The 22775-nt window shown below is 35.1% G+C and overlaps 1 long non-coding RNA gene across 1 annotated transcript in view, besides 1 other annotated feature; it reads left to right on the top strand.

Moving 5' to 3' along the window:
- LINC01090 (long intergenic non-protein coding RNA 1090) overlaps positions 1–22775 on the top strand; it is a 252096-nt gene that overhangs the window by 28877 nt on the left and 200444 nt on the right. The window lies entirely within an intron of this gene.
- Positions 15206–15406: a silencer, noted in NCBI's record as "peak3994 fragment used in MPRA reporter construct". NCBI's record gives its function as "represses an SCP1 promoter by STARR-seq MPRAs in K562 erythroleukemia cells {active_cell/tissue: K562}" and the evidence as "EXISTENCE:reporter gene assay evidence [ECO:0000049][PMID:32103011]".

The raw sequence follows: 22775 nt of genomic DNA, 5'->3' as shown, positions 1-22775 counted from the left end.
TTTTTAATTAAAATTGGAGACACAACAGGATAGAAATTGTGTGTTTTGTTCAAATGGTGTGCCTTCAACTCATAGAAAAGTGTGTGACATATAAATGACATCCTGTTTATATTCATTGAATATTTGCTGAATAAATGGAACAAACAAGGCCTAAACAGTTACATCATTCCCCCAAATCATACAAAGTATTTTTTCTGTGACAACCCATTTCCCCTCCATACTCCTCAGTCTGACAATTTAGTGTTTCGGACCCCTGTTCCTTTCATCCACATCTCCCTAGTCTACTGAAACATTCAGAACTACTCTGCCTTTTTCTTTCCAGCTCCTAATTATACTCCTAGATTTTACTAAGGCAGTTTAATATTTTATTTCTTCACAAGTTGTATAATCTCTTAGAAAGTTATATTCCATATTCCTGACAGATAGTGTATCATTATCCCTTCAGATTTAGCTGCATTTGTACTGCTAGGGTTATTACTAATCTTTTCTTTCTTTTTATTTTCCTTATCTCAAATTCTCAGCTCTAGTAAATCTGTGCTTTAACTATAATTTTTTAAAACTATTATCCTCAAATGATGAATGTGGGTGATAAACTCTCTGAATATTTGACTATTAACAAATATCTTTCTCTCTTCCAGGAGACTGGTATCTTGTCTGTCTAAAGAATGATTAGTTTATCATCCTATTTTCTCAGTAGTCTGAGTATTAATCCTTTGCTTTCTAGCAGATAAGAAGTTGGACACAAATGATTCTTATTCTTTGCAAGTGACTTGTTCTTTCTACCTGGAAGCTTGTAACGCTTCCTTATAATTTTGCAGTTCAAAAATTCAGATTGTGCCTTCACATAAATCTATTTCATCAACATTACTTGGAATTTGATGAGGCATTTTAATCTGCAAGCTTAAATATTTATTTAGCTTGGAGAAAATTTCTTTTACTATTTGATCATTTCATCTTTTCCATGTAGTCTTTTTTCCTTCTGCTAGAACTAATATTCTTCAAATGTTACATTAGTTGCCTGTACTATCCTTTACATCTCTCATCTTCACTCACATTTTCCATGTGTTAGTGCTTTTGTGTTGCTTTTTGTGGTATTTCTTCCTCTGGATCCTCTATTTGAGATTTCAAGTGTCCATACCCTAATATATCTGCAGAGTGTCTTTTATTGTGAAGATGTGTTTTATTTTCAGAAATATTTCCTATAAATGTTCTTCCTTAAAAGTTCTTCCTCAGAGGTTCTATTTAAATAAAGAACTATGCTAAATGTTTTGTTGCTCTTCTTTGAACAGACTGTTGGACCCTCAGGTGAATGATTACGTGTTTGTTCTTCTCACTATATCTCAGGTGCAGTTGCCATAGTACTGTCCTGGGTTGAGAAAATGGAATTGGAATGGAGATTTGTGTGCACTGTCTTTAATAGGGAGTGGTTTTTGGACTAACACCTATGGACAGTTGAAAGCCACCTTTGGTAGTACTTTTGAAAGCTGGCGAATATGTTCATCATTCCTGAGGGCAATCTGGACAGTGAACGAACATCACTATAATTTCAGGCAGCAGTGAACGTGATGGAGAGAACCAGTGTCTCTCCTGTTATAAGCCAATAGCAGCAGCAGCAGCAGATTATTAGACCCTATCACTGCTACCAGGAAAAATCCACTTTGGCTCCTTGGATTCTCTCAGCTTAAAAGCTAAAGAAGGCTTGGCTTCCTTTCCAATTTCTCAGAAAATTTTGAACAGAAACATGAGGCATAGTCGCATTAACTTATAGGGATTTCCAAATTATGGAAAGTCATGCTTATGCACAACCATGGATCCTAGATACAGTTCTTTGAACCCAGTCTACTGCCTGGCTAGGAAGGAAAGAGGGCTTCAAACTGTTGGCTTCATTCAGGGTTTGCCTGTTGTCCTCAAAAAAGACAGAAGGATTGGTTCTGTCTTTACAATATATCTACCTCACCTCCTCTAACTAGGGCCAAGCCATTATTGTTTCTCTCCTAGAGCCCAGTAATACCCTCTCAACTATTCTTCCTGCTTTCATACTTACCCATTTTAGTCTTAATATTGTAGCCAGAGTGATCTTTTTAAAATATAAGTCAGATTATGTCACTCCTCTAGTCAAAATTTTTTTCTATTTCACTTGTAGCAAGTCAGTCCTTAAAATAGCACAAGACTCAGTACAATCTCTACTAGTCACCTCTCTCTGCCCCCTCCACCACCCACATATATCTCTAACTTCATCTACTTTCTTCTCCTTAGTCTTTCATGGTTTTTCATTGGTGTTCTTTAGCTTTTAAGACTTTGCACTAGCTTTCTCTCTGCCTGGAATGTCATTCCATCAAATATTCACAATGGGAATTCCCTTATCTCTTTTGTCAAATGTCACTATCTCAGTGAGGCTTACCCTGAACACCCCCTCCTCCAATTTAAAATTAAAACTAGCCCCATTTTTATGCTACTGAATTCCCTTAACTTGCTTTAATTTTTCACCTTCTAACAAATGATGTAATTTATTTATTTACCATATTTATTTTAACTGTGGGCCTCTCTGCTGTAATTTAACAAGGTTACATCTTTTTCAATGATTGACTCATGCATCTAGAGGAGTGTCTGACCTCTGATACATAGTACAGGCTAAAATAAAAAGTGGCCACATGAATAAATAAATGTATGAATGAATGAATATGAAGAAGCTTAGACAATTTCAGCCTTCTCTCTTCCTATCACCTTTGATCCTTTATGGAAATTTTCTCTAATCTTCACAATAATCCTGCAATACTGACATTAATTTATCCATTCCACTGATTAAAAACCAAGGCTCAGCTAATGAGTGAAATATCCAAGATTCAAATTCAAATCTGTCTGGCTTCCAACCTTATGTATTTTTGTTTGTTTGTTTTTGTTTTCTTCCCCATGATCCAAAGCTCTTTCTAAATGGTAATGATTGAGAACTAATGAATGTAGAAAAGATGGTTCTAAGAATGACTGTTTCTCCTGTGTATAGTGGACAGCCTCTCCTCATGAAGGAGATTAATTCCTCAATTGGGGTGAGAAAGACAGGGACTTTCCTTTCATCTATAATATTTAAACTCCTCAATTCCTGTCCCTTCTCCTCACCTGGGAAACATTTATTATCCTGTCCTTTAAAATTGTGTGTACTGAAGAGACATTGGAGGAAACATTCTAAGTTCTTTGCCCTTCTAGAGTCATTCTCTATCATTCTCATCACATAGTCACTAGAAATCAGTATGGAACAGAATCATGGTGCTGTTGCAAAATTTACAATTAACAGTGTGAATTAACAATTAACAGTGCTAAATTTCTCTCATAAAACAGTGCAGCAAAATTACCAACTAAAAAATGTGTCAATATTTATTGCCTATGACAAGTTTGTCCTTCATTTAAAAAATTTTGCTTTCAATTCTTCCCCAAATTATCCTTTTTTTCACCATAAATCACATGTTTATATTATAGCTATCAAAGGAATTACATGTGATTTTGTTTAGGTACTTTTTTTTTTAGAAAAATGATTTTATTAAGGCATAATTGACACACTATAAACTGTACACATTTAAAGTGTGTAAATTGGTAGGTTTATGACATATGTGAATAGCTGTAAAACCATCAACATAAGCAAGATAATGACTATACCTATCACAAAAGTCTGCATTTACCCCTTTTCAGTCTTTTAGTTTCTTCCTGTCTCCCCTCATCTTCAATCGCTGAGTTATTTGTTGTCACTATAGATTAGTTTGCACTTTCTATAATTTAACATAAATGAAATTATATCCTATGTTGTCTTTTTCTTTTGGCTTTTTTTACTCAGCATATTTGAGAGCCATTTATGTTATTGCATATAAAGATGGGTAATTCTTTTTAATTGCCAACTAGTATTTCATTCTTTAGATGTACTACAATTTGTCTATCCATTCAATTATTGGTAGAATTTTTATTTTTCAGTTTTTGGCTATTACAAATAAAGCGGCTATGAGCATAATAAAGCATCTATGAACTATTCTTTGTTTGAATATATGCTTTTTTTTTTTAGGTAAATACCTAGGAATACAATGGTTGTATTACATGGTAGGTAAATATTTAAATTTTAAAGAATCTGCCAAACTGTTTTCCAATGTTGTGGTAATATTTTACATTCCTGTTAGTAGTGTATGAGGGTTTCTGTTGTTCCACCTTCTTGCCAACACTTGGTATGCCCAGTCTGTTTTAGTTTTAGCTTCTAATTCTTTGGCAGTTGTATATCATTGTGGCTTTAATTTGAACTTTTCTAATAACTAACAATACTGAGCACCTTTTCATGGGCTTAATTGCCATCCATATATCATTTTGGTGAAGTGATTGTTTCAAATGTTTTGCCTAATAATTTTATTTCGTGGTTTGCTTTCTTATTATTGAATTTTGGAAGTCCTTTATATATTCTGGATACAAGTCATCTACCAGACATGTTATTTGCAGATGCGTCCTGCCGTTCTGTAGCTTGTCTTTTCATACTTTATACAATCTCTTTAGAAAGCAAAAATTCTTAATTTTGATTAATCAAATTTATTATGTTTTTCTTTTCGTGGTCTGTGTTTTGATATTCTATGTAAAATATCTATCTTTAGTGCTTCTCAACTGGGGGCAATTTTCTCAATTCCCCCAGTTCACATTTGGCAAAGTCTGGAAACATTTTTGGTCATCACAATTAGTGTCAGTGGGGGGTTGCTACTGGCATGTAGGGTAGAGGCAAGAGAAAATGTTAAACATCCTGCAACACACAGAAAATGTCACCCCCTACATACATGCGTGTGCACACGCTCCCTCTCCGCCCCGTCCCACCCCATGCAAAAGAATTGTCTAGTCCCAAATGTCAATAGTGCCAAGGTTGAAAACTCTAATCACAAGGATTTGTGTTTTTTCTTCTAGAAGTTTTATAGCTTTTTATTTTACACTTGATATTTGGCATTTCATTTTCATTCAATTGAAAATACATTCTAAAATTCCCTTTACGATTTCCTCTTTCACATATGAGTTTTTATAAATGTGATATTCATATTTACAAATAAATATGTGGTTATGTGGGTATTTTCAGATATTCGAATATTTTCCACATATTTTCTCACTATTGATTTTTCTATTAATAATTTAACTGTCATCAAATAATGTATTTTTGTACTCTCCTCACTCTATTGTTGAGTATTCTAAAAATTTAAATAAGATCAGTTGGTTGTTCACCTTTTAGAAACTTCTACATCCTTACTTAATTTTTTATCTACTTTCTATCAGTCATGGAGAGAGTGGTATTAAAATCTCCAACTACATTTGTGGATTTGTATATTTCTGCTTAAAGTTCTATTAATTTTTGCTCCAGGTGTTTCGAAGCTCTATTGATAAGTGCATAAGCATTTAGGATTGTTAAAACCTCTCAATGAATTGACCCTGTTATTATAATGAAGTGGTACTTTTTATCCCTGGTAATATTTTTCCTCTGAATTCTCCTGTGTCTGATATTAATATAGACATTATATCTTTCCTTGGATTAGTGTTAAGATGCCATGCCCTTTTCCATCTTTTTGTTTTTAATATATTTGTTTATTTATACTTAAGGGTTTTTTTGTAGACCATATACAGTGTGTTCTTGCTTTTTTAAATTTACTCAATAATCTCTGCCTTTTTGAGTTTTTTGATCATTAATATTTAATATGATTATTGATATGATTGTATTTTAATCTGCCATCTTATTATTTGTTTTCTGTTTGTGCTGTTCTTTTTATGCCCTTTTCTCATTTCCCATCTTCTGTTGGGTTGAGTGCTTTTTTTACAATTTGATTTTCTATTTTTTTCATTAGTTTATTACTCTTGTTTTCTTGACTGTTGCTTTACTGTTTAATAGTATGCACATTTAATCTATTGTAGTCTACCCCAAATAAGATATCAATTTCTGTGTAGTATAAGAAACTTACAACAGGATGCCTCCATTTCCCCTTTAAACTTTTTGATCTTTTTATACTTTTTAATTCTACATATGTTATAACCCCAACTATACATTATCATTTTTGCTTTAAACAGTCAAATACCTTTTAAACATTTTAAACTATTTTTAAGTCCTTTTATTTACTCACATACTTACATTTCAGTTCTCATCATTCAGTTGCACAGATCCAATTTCCATATGGTATCATTTTCTCTGTCTGAAGGACTTGCTTCAACATATTTTTTGACTGATGGTAATAAAGTTGTTGTCAGTTATATGTCTAAAAACGTCTTTGTGTCTTTGCCTTCATTTTTGAAACATATTTTCTCTGAGCATAGAGTTGTAGATTGACAGTTTTTTTTCGTTGAACAACATCCGTAAAAAGATGTTGATCTAATGTCTTTTGGCTTGCATTGTTTCCAGTGAGAATTTTGCTGTCATCTTTATTTTTGTTCCTCTTAATGTAATGTGTCTTTTTTACTGTTTTTGAGATTTCCTCTTTATCACTGGTTTTAAACAATTTGATTATGATGTAGTTTGATGTAGTTTGCTTCATGTTTCTTATGCTTGAAAATTTGTTGAGAATCTTGGATTTGTGGGCTTACAATTTTCATCAAATTTAGAAAAGATTTAGTCATTATGTCTTCAAATAATTTTTGTTTTACTCCTTTCCTTTGAAGGCTCTGATTACATGTATATTAGACCACTTGAAATGTACTACAACTCACTGAAGTTGTGCTCTTTTTTTTTTTTTTAAGACTTTTCTCTGAGTGTTTCATTTTGGATAGTTCGTATTGTGTATTCAGGCACAAAAGTCTCTTTGTCTGCTATGTCTAATCTACTGGTAATTCTAAATCGGTATTTTAAATCTTAGATATTAAAGTTTTAAGATCTAGGATTCTGTCTTTTGTATTTTTAATATCGTTTTTATCTCTATTTAATGTGTTCAATCTTCTCTCTAGTTTCTTGTACACATGGAATACACTTATAATTCAGTTTTCAAGTTCTTGTCTGCTAATTCCATTATCTGAGTCATTTCTGGGTTGGTTTATATTGATTTATTTGTTTTCCTCATTATGAGTTATATTTTCATGCCTCCTTGCAGAACAGATTGGATGCCAGACATTATGTATTTTACCTTATTAGATGTTGGATATCTACCTATTCCTATAAATATTCTTGAACTCTTTTTCTGGGAAACGGTTACATCATTTAGAAACCATTTGGTCATTCGTCTCTTGCTTTTAAGGCTTTTTAGCCTTTATCAAAGCAACATTTATTCTAGGGTTAATTTTGCTCTACCAGTGATTTAAAACCTTTTTTAGCAGTCTAGCTAATTCACCATTAATTAGTAAAATTTCTACTCTGGATTTTGGTAAAAGTAACTATTCCTGGCTATGTGTTAACTCCTGGGTTTATTCCCTCTAATCCTTTTGGGTGGCTCTTTTCTTGGCCTTGGGTAGTTTCTTCACATGGATGTACTAATCAGTACTCAGCAGAGAACTTAAGTAGGCCAAGGCTCTAAAGCTTCTTTCTATGAAGCTCATTCCTGTCACATACCCAGCCCTGAAAACTCTAGCCACCTTTACCTCCCTGGACTCCCAACTCAGTTTGCTCATATCAGGGAGATCATTAAGTCCTTCCTGTGTTTCCTGTCCTGGCATCGAGGCCCAATGAGTCTTTCCAGGTAGTAAGATAGGGCAATTATCAGCCTCATCTCATTTGTTTCATGTCTCTCAAAGATCACTGTCTTTAATTAGGGGATCTCCAATGTCTTAAAAACCCATAATTTTTGTATGATTCTTAAAATTTTCTTTTCAGTCATGAAGTTACATCTTGTCCATATTACTTCATTTTAGCCAGAAGCAGAAGTGGGTTTACTACACGTGATTTTTCTCAAATACTTTAAATTCCAAAGGTAAATTCCAAACAATACTAGTAAACTACTTTTTAACCCTAAATATTGCCTTAATAATAAAGTTCAAAATTGATGTTTCTATTAAGAATACCTCCTTTCTTTTAGAAGAGCATTGTAGTTGGCTTTGACTACCATAGTAGTATAAAACCTGACAGTTCTTATTCACCCTCTGTAGTTGTCAGGATTAATTTACAAATGACATTGAATTTTGGGAGTTTTACTTTTATCTGAGGCTTCTATCAGAGGTGTACAAAAAGGAAAAAAAAGGAAAAATCTTCCATGCTGTATTGCTTCTCATTTTCAGCCTTGTAAGTTCATCAGCAATTTAAAGAATTTAATCAACACATTTTCAGTTTTCCTTCACCTTTTTATTGAATGAGAAACTGAAGCAAAACAGAGTTCCTCAGTCAAGAAGGAGCAGAGCTGGCATTCAAGCCTGTTATCCTATTTTTGTTTCTCAGTAAGATATCAGATTTCTATATTGTTTCACACTTGATTTTTTAGGACTTGAGGTCAAACTTTTACTAGATTCACTGATCAGTGTTAACTTATGTTAGCGCTAAGTAAAAGTATAAAAACGTCCTTATACAATTTCAGAATTTTAAGGTAATCCAACTAATTTTATTCAATTTATTTATTTTACAGGTGGAGACATAAAATTTAAATTGCTCTAAGCAAACTAGCTAGATAGGACTAAACTGACTATTACACAAATTATTTTTGATATTTTAAATAAAAATGTTATATGGCCAAATTAAAAACAAGCTATCATTTGGATAAAGAGATGTTTCTTTCTTTCTGCTACCTAATTTTTCTAAAATGGTTATTTGAAAAAATACCTTTGTCTCAATTTCATTCTTCCGACTTCTACTCCATTTAAACAAAATAATAGATTAGAAACATAAGTAAAGAGATTTGTATTATTTTTATCATTTTATCACCTATAAATAAACAATTCTGCTAATGCAAGAAAAAATAGAGTGGATACTCAATTAACTGCAATAATGAGGAAGTCATAGATAAAACATCATTAGAACTAAGTCCAGTCTTGCCACTCAAAAAAGTGTGATGCAAGAATCAGTTGCGTAGGTATTAGGTGGGAGCTTGTTAGAAACGCAGAATCTTAGGCCCAGCTCCAGATCTGCTTACTCGGAATTTGCATTCTAACAAAATCTCCGTGTGATTAGTGGGCACAGTAAAGTCTGAGAAGCATTGCTCATCCTGGTTTTGCAGCTGTGTCCTTCTTCTGTTCATTTATCTCCCCAGGAAAAAGCTTTATAATCTGGGTAATTATCCTTGATTAGCAACCCTTATAGGAGGTAGTAAAGGGGACATTAAAGCTTAAACTCCAAATTACTGACTGCAAACTGAGAAATATCACCTGCTTGATTCCTTAACACCCTCCCACTCCCTAGCCAGCTCTTTCAGAATATCTGAAACTAGTTAATTTTCTGAGCAATCAAGAGTTGTCTGTATCTAAGAATATTTTGTGATTTTATTTGTGCTTTCATGTTCTTCTTCCTCCTGTTTCTACAGATTTTTTTCCTTAAAAATCTTTCATTTAAAAATCTGTAGAACTTAAAGTTAATTAATATAATCAAAAAAGTTACAGACGTTGAACTATTTTACTATTTGTAGTTAAGTTCCTAAAGATTGTGAAATGAACCACATAAATTAGAATTTACTTGGATTGGAATTATACATGTTTCAGATATGATCAAAATCAACACTTCTGAAATAAAATCAAAGAGCAAATAAATGGTGTGCTTGAGAGATAATATAAAATGCTGAAATAATTTTGTGATGAACTTTGATCAGATAAATTCAAATATCAAATTATCCACATTATTATCTTACTGACAGAAAGCATAAATATAAAAAATATCTTATTGAGTTTCTATATGATCCACATACTAAGTGATGAAATCTATAAAGGCATGGTAGTTTGGTATAAGTATTAGAGTCATCAGTTCTAGACTGGTTTGTTCTCAATGAGAAGAAAAAGGCCTTCTCTGCATTGTGAATTTAAATATTTTGCTGTTCCACAAGACTGGGAGCTCTAACATGGTTCACAGGGACCAAAAATTAAGCTCAGCTCAGTGCCAGGAACAGATTACAATTCACATATTCCGTGGAATGACTGAAGAAATGTTGTCCGTGATATTTGACTAGTTACTGTCCTGCACTATTTGCAGACAGCACCATCTGTTATTATTGCTGACCTTCCATTTTTCATCCCAAACTTTCAACTACTAAAGTTACTAAAAAGATAGAAAATAAATAAACATATAGCACTATCTCTAAAGAGCTACACTGAAATACATATATTGGAGGTAGTTCTCTATCCCTCTATTGCAATAGCATTAAATTCTGGCTATACTTATTTTGGGAGGCCAAGGCAGGTGGATTGCCTGAGCTCAGGATTTCGAGATCAGCCTGGGCAACATGGTGAAACCCATCTCTACTAAAATACAAAACATTAGCCGGGTGTGGCGGCGTGCAACTGCAGTCCCAATTACTCAGGAGGCTGAGGCAAGAGAACTAATTGAACCTGGGAGGCGGAGGTTGCAGTGAGCAGAGATCGCACCACTGCACTCCAGCCTGGGTGACAGAGCAAGACTCCATCTCAAAAAAAAATAAAATAAAATTCTGGCTATATTTTACGATTGTTTGGAAACTCCAACTGTGCAATTGTTGGAACCTAAAAACATGTCTAGGCCTTATGCCAAAGTAGTTCTACCAAAATGTATATATTTATATGGTGTCATATATTTGATTATGCTTTATGTTCCTTGATCTCTAAATGGATGCAAACCAATCCATAAACTTCAAGCAAGCCAGCTTGCCAACACAAATCACAGGAATCAGTCAATGAGCAGGGATGTGATAATTATGTGGGCAAGTAGAGCTAGTCAGACATGGGAAGCTTGTACCTTGCTCTGGATTTTTTTCTGTTTGTTTTCCACATCTATTTTGTGTCCCACTCTGGGAGAGAAATATGTCATAGAGTAATTTAATGCTAGTAGCCTAGTGCTTAACAATTTAGTACTATATAGTGGTACCTAAGTTAATGTCGAGGCCTGTAAAAACGCAAATCACTAGCCCTGATATTCTCCACCTGCTCCCACAGCAGTCTCATATTTAGGCAGTTTTTTGCTTTCTGTAGTTTTGTGTTTATGTGGCTTTTTTTCTTATCTTCTGCTACCTCTCCTTTCTACCCCTAATTCTAATAGTATTGGTCCATCTTACTAACAGCAAATGAATTCCTTGAATCTCAACTGGAGTGGCGTAGTCCTCTTAGTGAAGTTCCATCTGTGACTTCAGAGGCTCCAATCTTACTTCACAGGGGCTTATTGGAGCATTTTGTTAAAACACGTGCTATGCAACTCCAAGGGATTGTATCAGTCCAGATAGCATAGGTTATGCTGCAGCAACGTATTAGTCTGTTTTCATGCTGCTGATAAAGACATACCTGAGAATGGGCAATTTACAAAAGAAAGAATTTTATTGGACTTACAGTTCCACATGGCCAGGGAGGCCTCACAATCACGGCAGAAGGTGAAAGGCAGGTCTCATATGGCAGCAGACAAGAAAAGAGAGCTTGTGCATGGAACCTCCCCTTTTTAAAACCATCAGATCTCGTGAGACGTATTCACTATCACGAGAACAGAAAGCATGGGAAAGACCTGCCCCCAAGATTCAATTACCTCCCACTGGGTCCCTCCCACAACATGCGGGAATTCAAGATGAGAGTTGGGTGGGGACACAGCCAAACCATAACAAGTAACAAATAATCCCTAAGTCTCAGAGGCTTAGTAACAAAAGTTTAGTCCTCACTCACCTTACATGTTCAATCCAGGTCAGCTATGATTCTAAGTATTTTTTACTTGAAGATTCAGGAAGATATTGCTGCTTCTAGCAGAAATGCTAATAGTCAATTTCTTTTTTTCCTTTTTCCTTGGAAAAAGGAAAGTAGAATGATAAACTCCATGTTGGCCTATGTGATATGCATCACTTAACCTCATGTCTCATTAGTTAATCAAGTCATGCAGGCACATATGGCATCAATACGTTAAGGAAGCTATGATTTCTCTTCTTCAAACAGAAAGGACAGTGAGTATTTATGCATAATAATACACTCTACCATAGAGGCATTGTGGCAAATAAAATTTTATCCACCTCATTATGTGTAATATTATTCTTTTTTGTTCTTGTTTATTCATATTTATTTCTTCATGAAACTGAGATTCCTTCAATCAAGAAAGTAATTTTATTAGTTTTGTTTCCTTAGCTCTTATTCCCTGACATATAGCAGGCATTTGACAACTGTTTACTGAATCAATTAAAGATAAACATTATTAAATCATAGCTATATCTAGAGCTTGCTGAACATTGATGTTTCTATAATAAAACCGTATGATTCTTAGGTACAAGCACTTCTAACATAAATAGCCATGCACTCAGATGATATCCTGATATTATCTGCCAAACACATATTATCGCCAGGTATGTGGCAGAGCCTATATCACAATCATTAAAGAAGCTCTCAAGAAGTTTGTTGGGAGAATAATAAAGTTTTGACTTCTGCCAAAAACATTCTGTGCACGAGTCTTACAATTTTATTTTAAAAAATGGTTGGAGGGAGTTTGTTTGCCTTGCCTTTTTTGTTAGTAAAATAAAGTGTGTCACAGGCCCAAAGGAATTTGAAATATTTCTGAAAAGACACTAAACTGTGTAGGACACCACAGATGAGGCTCCCTTTTGCCTTCTCAAAAATAAATGTGCACAGTTTATCTTCTTGTATGATTAATTACTGTAGACTTAATTATATAGAATAAATCTGTATCATGTAAGAGGGAAAAACATCTGAAATAATAAATGCTTTTAAAATGTTAGGTTATTTTATGATAACATTATCATCATAAAAACAATATTATTTTACCTTTTGAAATTCTATCCCAATACAGAAAGACAGGAATGATAAAGGTAATTTTCTATGAAATGGTGTGAGAGCTTATTAAACCAATACTGTTTTGCATTTCAGATAGTATTGTATAAAGAGATGAATCGATTTTTTAAAAAAAATTACAACAGACAAATATTAAATACTTATTTCCTATATGGATATAAATATTAATTAGGTAGAAGTGATATATGTTGAAATGAAAGAATTTGAATTAGTTATGTGAAATAAAATGCATGAGTAAAAGAGTGTCTTACATGGAGACATAAGTAAAGTCAAAGCCTTAATTAAACAAAAACAGAAAAAGGGGGCAGATCTCCCACCTGCTCAATGATGCCTGAAATTGAGCTGTGGGAACATAATTCCTTTCCCTTAAAGTGTAAATTTGTGTAAAAATGACTCTATAAAATAATAAAAATTATCTCTTTAAAATTGCAGATGACTCGAAAGGTAGAGACAGAATATCATCATACCCACACTCAGGTTTTCTAAAATATGGATGAATCATACTGGTGGGAACCTGATTAGTCAGAAACTAAGAAATCAGTACTACTACTTAAAAGCTGTCAGGCCAGGTGCCGTGGCTCATGCCCGTAATCCCAGCACTTTGGGAGGCCACTGCTGGAGGATCGCTTGAGCCCAAGAGGTTGAGAACAGCCTGGGCAACATGGGGAGACCCTGTCTGTACAAAAGACAAAAATTAGCTAGGTGTAGCGGTGCACACCTGTGGTCTGAGCTACTAGGAAGGCTGAGGTGGGAGGATCACTGGAACACCAGAGGTTGAGGCTGCAGTGAGCTGTGATTGTGCTGCTGCACTTTAGCCTGGGCAATAAGTGAGACCCTGTCTCAAAAAAAAAAAAAAAAAAATATATATATATATATATATGTGTGTGTGTGTGTGTGTGTGTGTATATGTATGTATATATATATATAATATATATATTTTAAAAAGCTGTCAATACCTTCTCAGTTTTGGAATGGACAGTGGGTCATCTTAAAGCACACCATACTTTTTTGGAGAAGAAGCACTTACATGTCTTTTTCTTAGTGATATGAATTTAGGATGATGATTTTGTAGTTGCTATTTTTTCCTTATAAAAGCTGTCTCTTTAATCTTCTTGTCAGGAAATGTTCAGTCTTCTGAAAAGAATAGAGAAAAATTAGCATAATACCTGAGGAGACTTGAAGGAAAACGGGTATAGAAATAATTGTCTTTTATGGTTGAGTTTTATTATAATCACTCTTATGGTTTGAGCTGGACCTTCCTTAAAAGGACAAAGGACACTAGACACTCCCCAAGGAAACTCATCATGATCACAGGGGTAGGAATCAGAGTCAAGAATGACAGGGGTAGGGAGAGCTGGGATGGCACCACATGTGACGAAGATTACATGCCACTTTGGATCTAGCAGCCATTGCAAGGAGAGTAGAGCTCACAATGTGATGAGTCACAACCTTAGGAGCCCACATGGAAAACACTGTTAGGAATAAGATAGTCGGATTTAGGAGTAGATGAGATTTCCTCCCTGGAAAGACCACATCAACCTGCTTCACAAATCTAGAGCAACAAGGAAATAGGAGAAAGTTGCACAGTGAGTGCTAAGCTGAGTTTCTTTTATGATTTTTACAAGTAGTAGTATCATTATAAAATATACATACAGGAAATTATGCAAAATAATTTAAGAAACATTTGAGTATCTCATAATTTTGACAAACATTAATGTTATGCCAGGCTTTCTTCAAATTCTTTCTTTTTAACCTTAAGATATATTTGAAATTTCTTCTTATACTCCTCCCTGGCCCCATTTCCTTCATTAATTGTTCTTTTTTTTTTTTTTCTTTCTGGTGTTAAACTAATTTCTTTGCTTTATTTTTTTCCTCCAGCTTTATTGATGTATAATTGGTATCTTCAAATTATATCTTCTGTTAACGAGAATTTGATATTTATTATTCTTATATATAACATATTCACTTTATTATATATATCTAAAAATAATGTATTTTATTTATTTTTAAATGGTGTAAAATGTATAAAAATGTATAAATGATATCAAATTGACATACTGATCTGTAACTTTTTTTTTCAAGATTTTTCTGGTGTTTTTGTTTGTTTGTTGTCATTGTTGTTTTTGAGATGGAGTCTGGAGTCTCGCTCTGTTACTCAGGCTGGAGTGCAGTGGCAATATTACAGATAACTGCAGTCTTGAACTCCTGAACCCAATCAGTCCTCCTGCTTTAGTCTCCTGAATAGCTGAGACTACAGGGGCATGCCATCCCTCCCAGCTATTTTTCTTTTTTTTCTATTTTTTATTTTTTTCTACAGTAAGAGGAAGGTCTGAGTATATTCCCCAGGCTGGTCTGGAACTTCTGGCCTCAGGCAATCCTCTCACTTCATCCACCCAAAATACTGGGATTACAGACATGAGTCACCACACCCAGTTTGCCCTTGTTGATAGGTGAAACTGTAAAATTTTCTGTTATATGACTATACTTATTTAGTTCTTTGTTGATGGACATTTAACATGTTTCTAAATTTTTCCCTTTAGGCGTATGAGCTGTTATAACATATGGGTGAGGAGGATGGACTCTGGGACCAGACTATCTGCTTTAAATCTGTTTCACCACTTATCAGCTCTATGAACATGGCAAATTTCTTCCTCTTTTGTATCTCAATTTCTTCATCTGTAAATGAGGATAAAATTAGGATCTACTTCAGAGGGTTATTGTGAAGCTGAAAAGAGTTACTATAGGTAAAACACTGTAGAATGGGTGCTACATAATAATATCGTACATATCATACAGTGATTTAAAAAATCATTCTCATACATATGTCTTATACAAAAAATGTGAGAATTTCTCTAGGATACATTCCTAGGAGTGAAAGTTTGACTCTTAGATCACGTACACCTCCAACTTATGAGATATTGCAAAATTTCTTTCCAGAGGAAATGTGTATTTCCTTCAGCAATGAATGAGGATAATTATTTCTTCACTTTCTTTCCAGTATGAAACATTTTTAAAAAATGTTTACCAGTTTGATGAATATGAAATCACATTTTATTGTGGTTTTATTTTTTATTTCTCTAATTACTAGAGATTGAGCAGCTTTTCATCTGCTTATTAGGTACTTGAGTTTCTCCTTTTGCAGTTTGCCTGTTCCTAGCCTTTTTGATGGTTGTTTTTGCTTTAATTAGATTTTCTCTTTCTTATTGATTTGTAGGTAACCTTCATATTTTCCAAATATTAGTAATGGTTAGACTTTCCTTTTCACATTTTATAAGGTCACTTTTAGTAGTAAAGTTTTAAATTCTAATGTAGTCAAAGTTACCCATCTTTTTTATTGGAGATTACACATTTTATGTTTGTTTAATAAATTCATTTGACCTGGAGTCCTAAATACAGGCCACTACCCTTACTTCCAGAAGGGATAAAAGTTGATTTTTATATTAAGATATTTACTCACTTGGAATTTATTTTTGTACATAAAATAACATAGAAAAATGAGATCATTTTGTTTCATATGAATTACTGATTTTTCTAGCACTATTTATAAAATAGTTCATCATTTTACTTTTGTTAAAATGCCAATGATCAAATACCTGTATTCTGTTTCATTAATCACTTGTCTATCCCTGCAATGTAGTATTTAAAATGGTATGGTTATAATGATAACCATTTTAAATACTAGAGCTTTAAAATAATTTTTTTGTGTGATTTGGCAATGTCTTGGTTTATCAGGATGTTATAACAAAACATCATAAACTGAGTGGCTTACAAGCAACAGAAATTTATTTCTCATTTTGGAGACCGGGAAGTTCAAGATCACAGGCACCAGCAGATTTCATTTCTGATGAGAGCTCATTTCCTCATTTATAGAATAGTGCTTTCTTGGCAGTATCCTCACACAGTGAAAGGGGTAAACAAGCTCCCTCACACTTCTTTTCTGAAGGCACTAATCCAATCACCTCCCAAAGGCCCCACTTCTTAACACTATCACCTTTGGGGTTAGAATTTCCACAAATGAATTTGGGGGAACACAACATTTTGGCCACAGCAGGTTAATATTCCTATTTTTCTATTCTTCTTGATTTTTTTTCACTTTTTTTGGCCGTTTTGTTCTGCAATATATGTTTTAAATCAACCCATCAAGCTCCCAGAAAAGCTCTGCCGAGATTTTAATTAGGAGTGCATTAAATTTGTAGATTAATTCAGGTTCAATAGAAGCCTTTCTAAGCCATTCGGATTTTATTCTGTTGGCTAAAGGTAACCAGTTCAGGATGATCATGATCTTATATGCATTTTAGAATGATGGCTCTTATAGAAAACTTGAAGTAGTGGAAGTCTGATGCAACTTGTTTTGTGGATCATGTTGACTGCCACCACAAAACAGGCAAAACTTCAAAGAAGTCTAATTTGTTCTTATTCCTCTCAGAAGCCTCTTCCTGAATTCTTCCTTACTTGCCTCTTCCTCACTCCTCAAACATCCGTATTATACATAGTTAATATTTATGGGTAAATATGGATAAATACAGGTAAAAATGATTACTATTTATGGAGCAAACACTGTGTTGAAATCACCTTGCAGGGTTAATGAGAATTCTGGAAAGAAATATAATTAAGCATTTATCAGGCTTCACTTTGACCCACTTCCTGTAACCAAAAGTCATGTAGCACTAGATACTGACATTTGCATTCCCTTTGTTTCTATAGATGGGATTTCTGACTTTAGAATCATAAGGTTTTTCTTTAATATAGGTAGGACTTCTGACATTAGAATCATATGTCTTTTGTTTAAGAATTGTTTAAGATGCTTTTCAGATTCCAAATTCCAGTGAAATAGCTGGTGCCAACTGGTTTAAAGACCCCCACCAAGAAACAGAATCAGCATACTACAGTTTCTTCATCTCCCTGTCCCATCACTTCACCCTGCACTCTTGGATCAATCAACAATCTCTATACATTTGCCCTCTAAAACCCTGAAAACCCCCCAGCCCCAAACTCCTCAGGAAGATGGATTTAAGGTTTCCTCCTGTCTCCTCATTTGGTGGCCCTATGATTAAACCTGTTTCTCTGTTGTATTGCGTATTTACTTGCCTTGTGCATCGGGCAACAGACCTGTTACAGTTACAGTGTTAAAATCTTTACATGAATTATTTCACCTACTTCCACCCATAAAGTAGACAGAACTAGATTTAGAGGTGAATCAGCCAGGTATGTGTAGATTATCAATCTTAAGAAGGGCACTCACAATGATTGGAAAAAAATGGGATTATGGTTTCAGTTAACTCAAATGTCCATACTCTTTCTCCACATGTTAGAGGAAAGGGGTCCTGATCCAGACCCCAAGAGAGGGGTCTTGGAACTCACACAAGAAAGAATTCAGGGTGAGTCCATAGAGTAAAGTGAAAATAAGTTTATTAAGAAAGTAAAGCAATGAAAGAATGGCTTCTTCATGGACAGAGCAGCCCCAAGGGTTGCTGGTTGCTCATTTTTATGGTTATTTCCTGATGATATGCTAAACATATCATCCCCTTTCTAGACCATATAGGGTAACTCCCCGTTAGTTGTAGGGTATGCCTCTCCTTTCTAGACCACATAGGGTAGCTTCCTGACATTGCTATGGCATTTGTAAACTGTCATGGCGCTGATGACAGTGTAGCAGTGAGGACGACCAGAGGTCACTCTTGTGGCCATCTTAGTTTTGGTGGTATAATGCTGGCTTCTTTACTGCAACCTGTTTATCAGTAAGGTCTTTATGACCTATGTCTTGTGCTGGCTTCCTATCTCATCCTGTAAGTTAGAATGCCTTAACCATCTGGGAATGCAGCCCAGTAGGTCTCAGCTTTATTTTACCCAGCTCCTATTTAAGATGGAGTTGCTCTGGTTCACATGCCTCTGAGATTTTCCCCATCCCTTTCTTTTATTTATTTATTTATTTATTTTTGAGATGGAGTTTAGCTCTTGTTGCCCAGGCTGGAGTATAATAGCAAGTTCTCAGCCCACTGCAACCTCCACCTCCCAGGTTCAAGGTTCAAGGCCTCAGCCTCCCAAGTAGCTGGGATTACAAGCACCTGCCACCGCACCCAGATAATTTTTGTATTTTTAGTAGAGATGGAGTTTCATCATGTTGGTCAGGCTGGTTTTGAACTCCTGACCTCAGGTGATCCTACCCCCTCAGCCTCCCAAACTCCTTGGATTACAGGCATGAGCCACCATGCCCCCATCCCCCACTCCCCCTACCCTCGCCACTTTTATAAGACAACTGTTAATCCTAAGGGTTGCAGAGGGACAAAGCTCCATCTTCTGTAACTACTTCAGGCTGAATAGGGGCAATCATATTCCTGCCTAACTATTAGGGTCTCTTATTTTCAGGGTAGAGGGGAGCTCAGTCAGAAAGCATTGGTATGGTGAGGGCCATTCATAACTCCCAGTTCAGACAAAAGATAATATCTGGAAGATTAATAAGTGTTCAATTTAAGAAAACATTCAGTAAGCTTGTCCTGCATTCCTACACAAAGAGTACAACAGCAGTATATTCCACAAGAGTAAACAAAATGAGTAAAATTATTCCAAGTAAACTAGATTAGAAGGCTTTCCATGAACTGAGCAACTGTTGGAACTAAGCTGATATGAGGTTGCTAGCTGATTCCAATATGCCCAAGATTAGAATATTGATCCAGATTTTTACATCACTTATCCCTCTTGTTTCTTCTGAATAGCATCCAGAAATCACTGGTTGGTTCACAGGAATAAGCAGGGTTAACCTAAATTGCAAAAACAAACTTAAAAACAACTCATGAGACTAGAATTTAATAACAAGTGTGTCATAGTTTTTGAAACATAATTCCTCTCTCCAGTTTCCCATTTTTACTAAAGACAAATCATGATAGGACAGATTTATTTTATTATACTTGGCCTAATTATTTGTAAAAGTGCAGGAAGAATAATTATTTCTTACATAAGCTTTTTTGAAATTGGCTTTGATGGAACTCTGTTCCTTAGAAGGAATCTTAGATGAGACTTTTTTTTAGCGCTGAGCCCTGCCATGGGGTTGTACCCTCAAATAACTATGAGTTGGGAAAATTCCTCTCCTCTTGGGGTACCAAGATAACCCAGGGCTCCTAGACCTGTTAGAAAGTGACATTCTTTACTTATCACAGGTCAGAAACCCTGTACAGGGATTGTGTAGGCAAGGTATGAGGCCAGTTCTCCAAAGGGCTTTTATTGGTTTTACAAGTGAAGTCTGATTCCTTAAAGGAAACCACACCATTCCAGTCAAAGCCTTGGTAAAATATCCAGTTTTTTTCAATTGTGTCCTGTTATCACAGCAAACAGATGCTTACTGCACTTATGCAAATAACTATATTGTCATAAATTAAGAACACTCACAAATAGTTTCCAAATTTTGGAGAAATCAGGTAGAGAGAAACAAATATGCTTCAAATTTTATTCACAGAAGTATACATTACTCAGTTGTTAAAAGCTGTAAATAGCTTAAAATAGAAGTTTCCATGACTCTGAAAAACAAAACAAAGGATCAGAAATGGATTTGTTTTGTTTGTTTTTGAGACCGAGTCTTGCTCTGTCACCCAGACTGGAGTGCAGTGGCATGATCTCGGCTCACTGCAAGCTCTGCCTCCTGGGTTCATGCCATTCCCCTGCCTCAGCTTCCCGAGTAGCTGGGACTACAGGTGCCTGCCACCATGCCTGGCTAATTTTTTTTTGTATTTTTAGTAGAGACAGGGTTTCACCGTGTTAGCCAGGATGGTCTCGATCTCCTGACCTCATGATCCGCCCGTCTTGGCCTCCTAAACTGCTAGGATTACAGGCGTGAGCCACCGCACCCGGCCAGGATCAGAAATGTTTAAAGCAAAATCACAAAGATTACTTCAGACTTATTTAGTTTATGCCATGCAGTTAACTACTGTTCTGTTTGATATTCATGAATATTTTAGCTCTCCCTGAGAATCCTTAATTTTTTTTCATTTATTCGGATGTCATAATCTCCAAAGTTACCAGAAACCTGCATTTAAGAACACCTGATAGAACTCTATAGTTGACTAAAAACTGCCTTCTAAAGAGGACCAAAACAAGACAACAATTGTCTGTGGCTGACAAAATGTTTTAGGGCAGCAACAGTCAAAGACACAATTGACAAGAAAATTTGGTTATCTCTGTATCATACAATGATTTTATGTAACAATTTTTAATACATACACTAAGTCATATCAAAATTATAGGAGTTTCCCATAATTTTGAAACATATACCAATAATGCATTTATACAAATACAGCTCAAAAAAAGCCAAACACCATTTCATATTTGACAATGATTCCTGTATAACTTTTATACCAAGTAAGCCAAATGCCACTGTTGCATTAGTGCATTATTGATGTCAAACCAAATTTTTAATAAAACCTTAGAGACAAATGTATTTAATCTTAATTAGTTTGACCATAAGGTAAGATTTTGATAAACTTTTTATAACCCTTTCCTTTACAAATTTTTGTTAAAGAGTGCATTATAAGCAAGTTTTTACTCTAAGAAAAACCGGTTGTGCTTTTATTTCAATGTATAATTTACAGAAAAACTGTATAATACCCCTTTAACTTTAGTCAATATGTTTACACACAGAATCTCTTTTACAATTAATTTTTCACAAACCTTCCACCATTTGCTTAAGCCTTCAGCTTTATACTAAATTAAAATAATCCTTTAACCCTTTAATGTAGGCAAGAAAAATTCACATTCCCATGCCTTCTTATAATCTTTTGCCAAAAGTACATTCTACTTTCCTTACACAACTTGCATGTAGAACTGTTTCTTCAGTAGTCTCAAATACATGGTATACTGTTAACCCTTGGTGACTTAACTATTGGTGAAAACCTTGGTAAGTTCAGGATTCTAATTATGCAGTAGGTGTGGGGCCTAGCCTAGGACACACCAGGCAGAAGTGCAGGTAAGGGCTGACTCCAGCATAGCTAGGGAGTGTGGCTAACTCCACATGTCCCCAGGCCTTATCTAGAATCTAATGTCTCTAAAGAAGGTAAATTGAACAATTTTCAAAAGTCAAAGAAGCAGTTTATGAACTTAAAGCATTAGGAAACTTACTATCTGACCTGCATAATTTAGAACAAATGTTTACATTTTACCAATAATCTTTAAAGCTGTTTTTATTTCCTAAAGATTACTAAAGTCACATGAACTAAATAAAAGGCATTATACTTTTTACTTTTCTGGCAAAATATTTTATTTAAGCTCTTATTATTTTTAAACCAATTAAAGCTCTTTTATATAACACACACAGCACGTATAAATACACAGACAGACAGAAGAAAAAGGACTCATCCTCTAAGCGGGAAATTGAACCCTGAACCTGGGATGCCTTTGTGATGGCAGAGACCAAGAGAAAGTACTGCCACTTGATTACAAGGTCAAGCTCCCAAGGACATACAAAAAAGAGGGAAACCTCATCCAGTATTTTTCAGTGACTTGCAGCAGAGTTTGTAACTGTCGGGTTTGCTGGGCTGTCTTGAAAAGTGGGCTTACAGGTGTCCTAAGCCTGTGTTCTATCCTAAGATTTCCTTCTCCATTATAGAACACACACAGAAAGACACACAAGGCACATCAAAATTGCTACAGCTTAGGACTAGCCTCATAAGTTCTTTTTTCCAATTAATTAAAACTTTGTAGGAGATAAACCGTTAATTTTACTGTTCAACCAGTTTGCACAGAGAAAAAGAGAGAGAGAGTAGGGGGGTGGGCGAAAGCGTTGCCTGAGGCAGGGTGGGGAAGGTGAGGCACTCAGGGAGTCCAAAAGGCTAAGTGCTCAGGGAGTCCAAAGTGGGGAGTCCAAAAGGTGAGGCGCTCCAGGAGTCCAAAGACCCACCCATTGCAACAACACTGAAAACTTCAGGTGGCTGCTGTTG

This window comes from Homo sapiens, chromosome 2, assembly GCF_000001405.40.
Source record: "Homo sapiens chromosome 2, GRCh38.p14 Primary Assembly".
Lineage (NCBI taxonomy): Eukaryota > Metazoa > Chordata > Mammalia > Primates > Hominidae > Homo > Homo sapiens.
The sequence above is the reverse complement of the archived record's forward strand: the minus strand, read 5'-3'. Positions and strand labels throughout refer to the sequence as shown.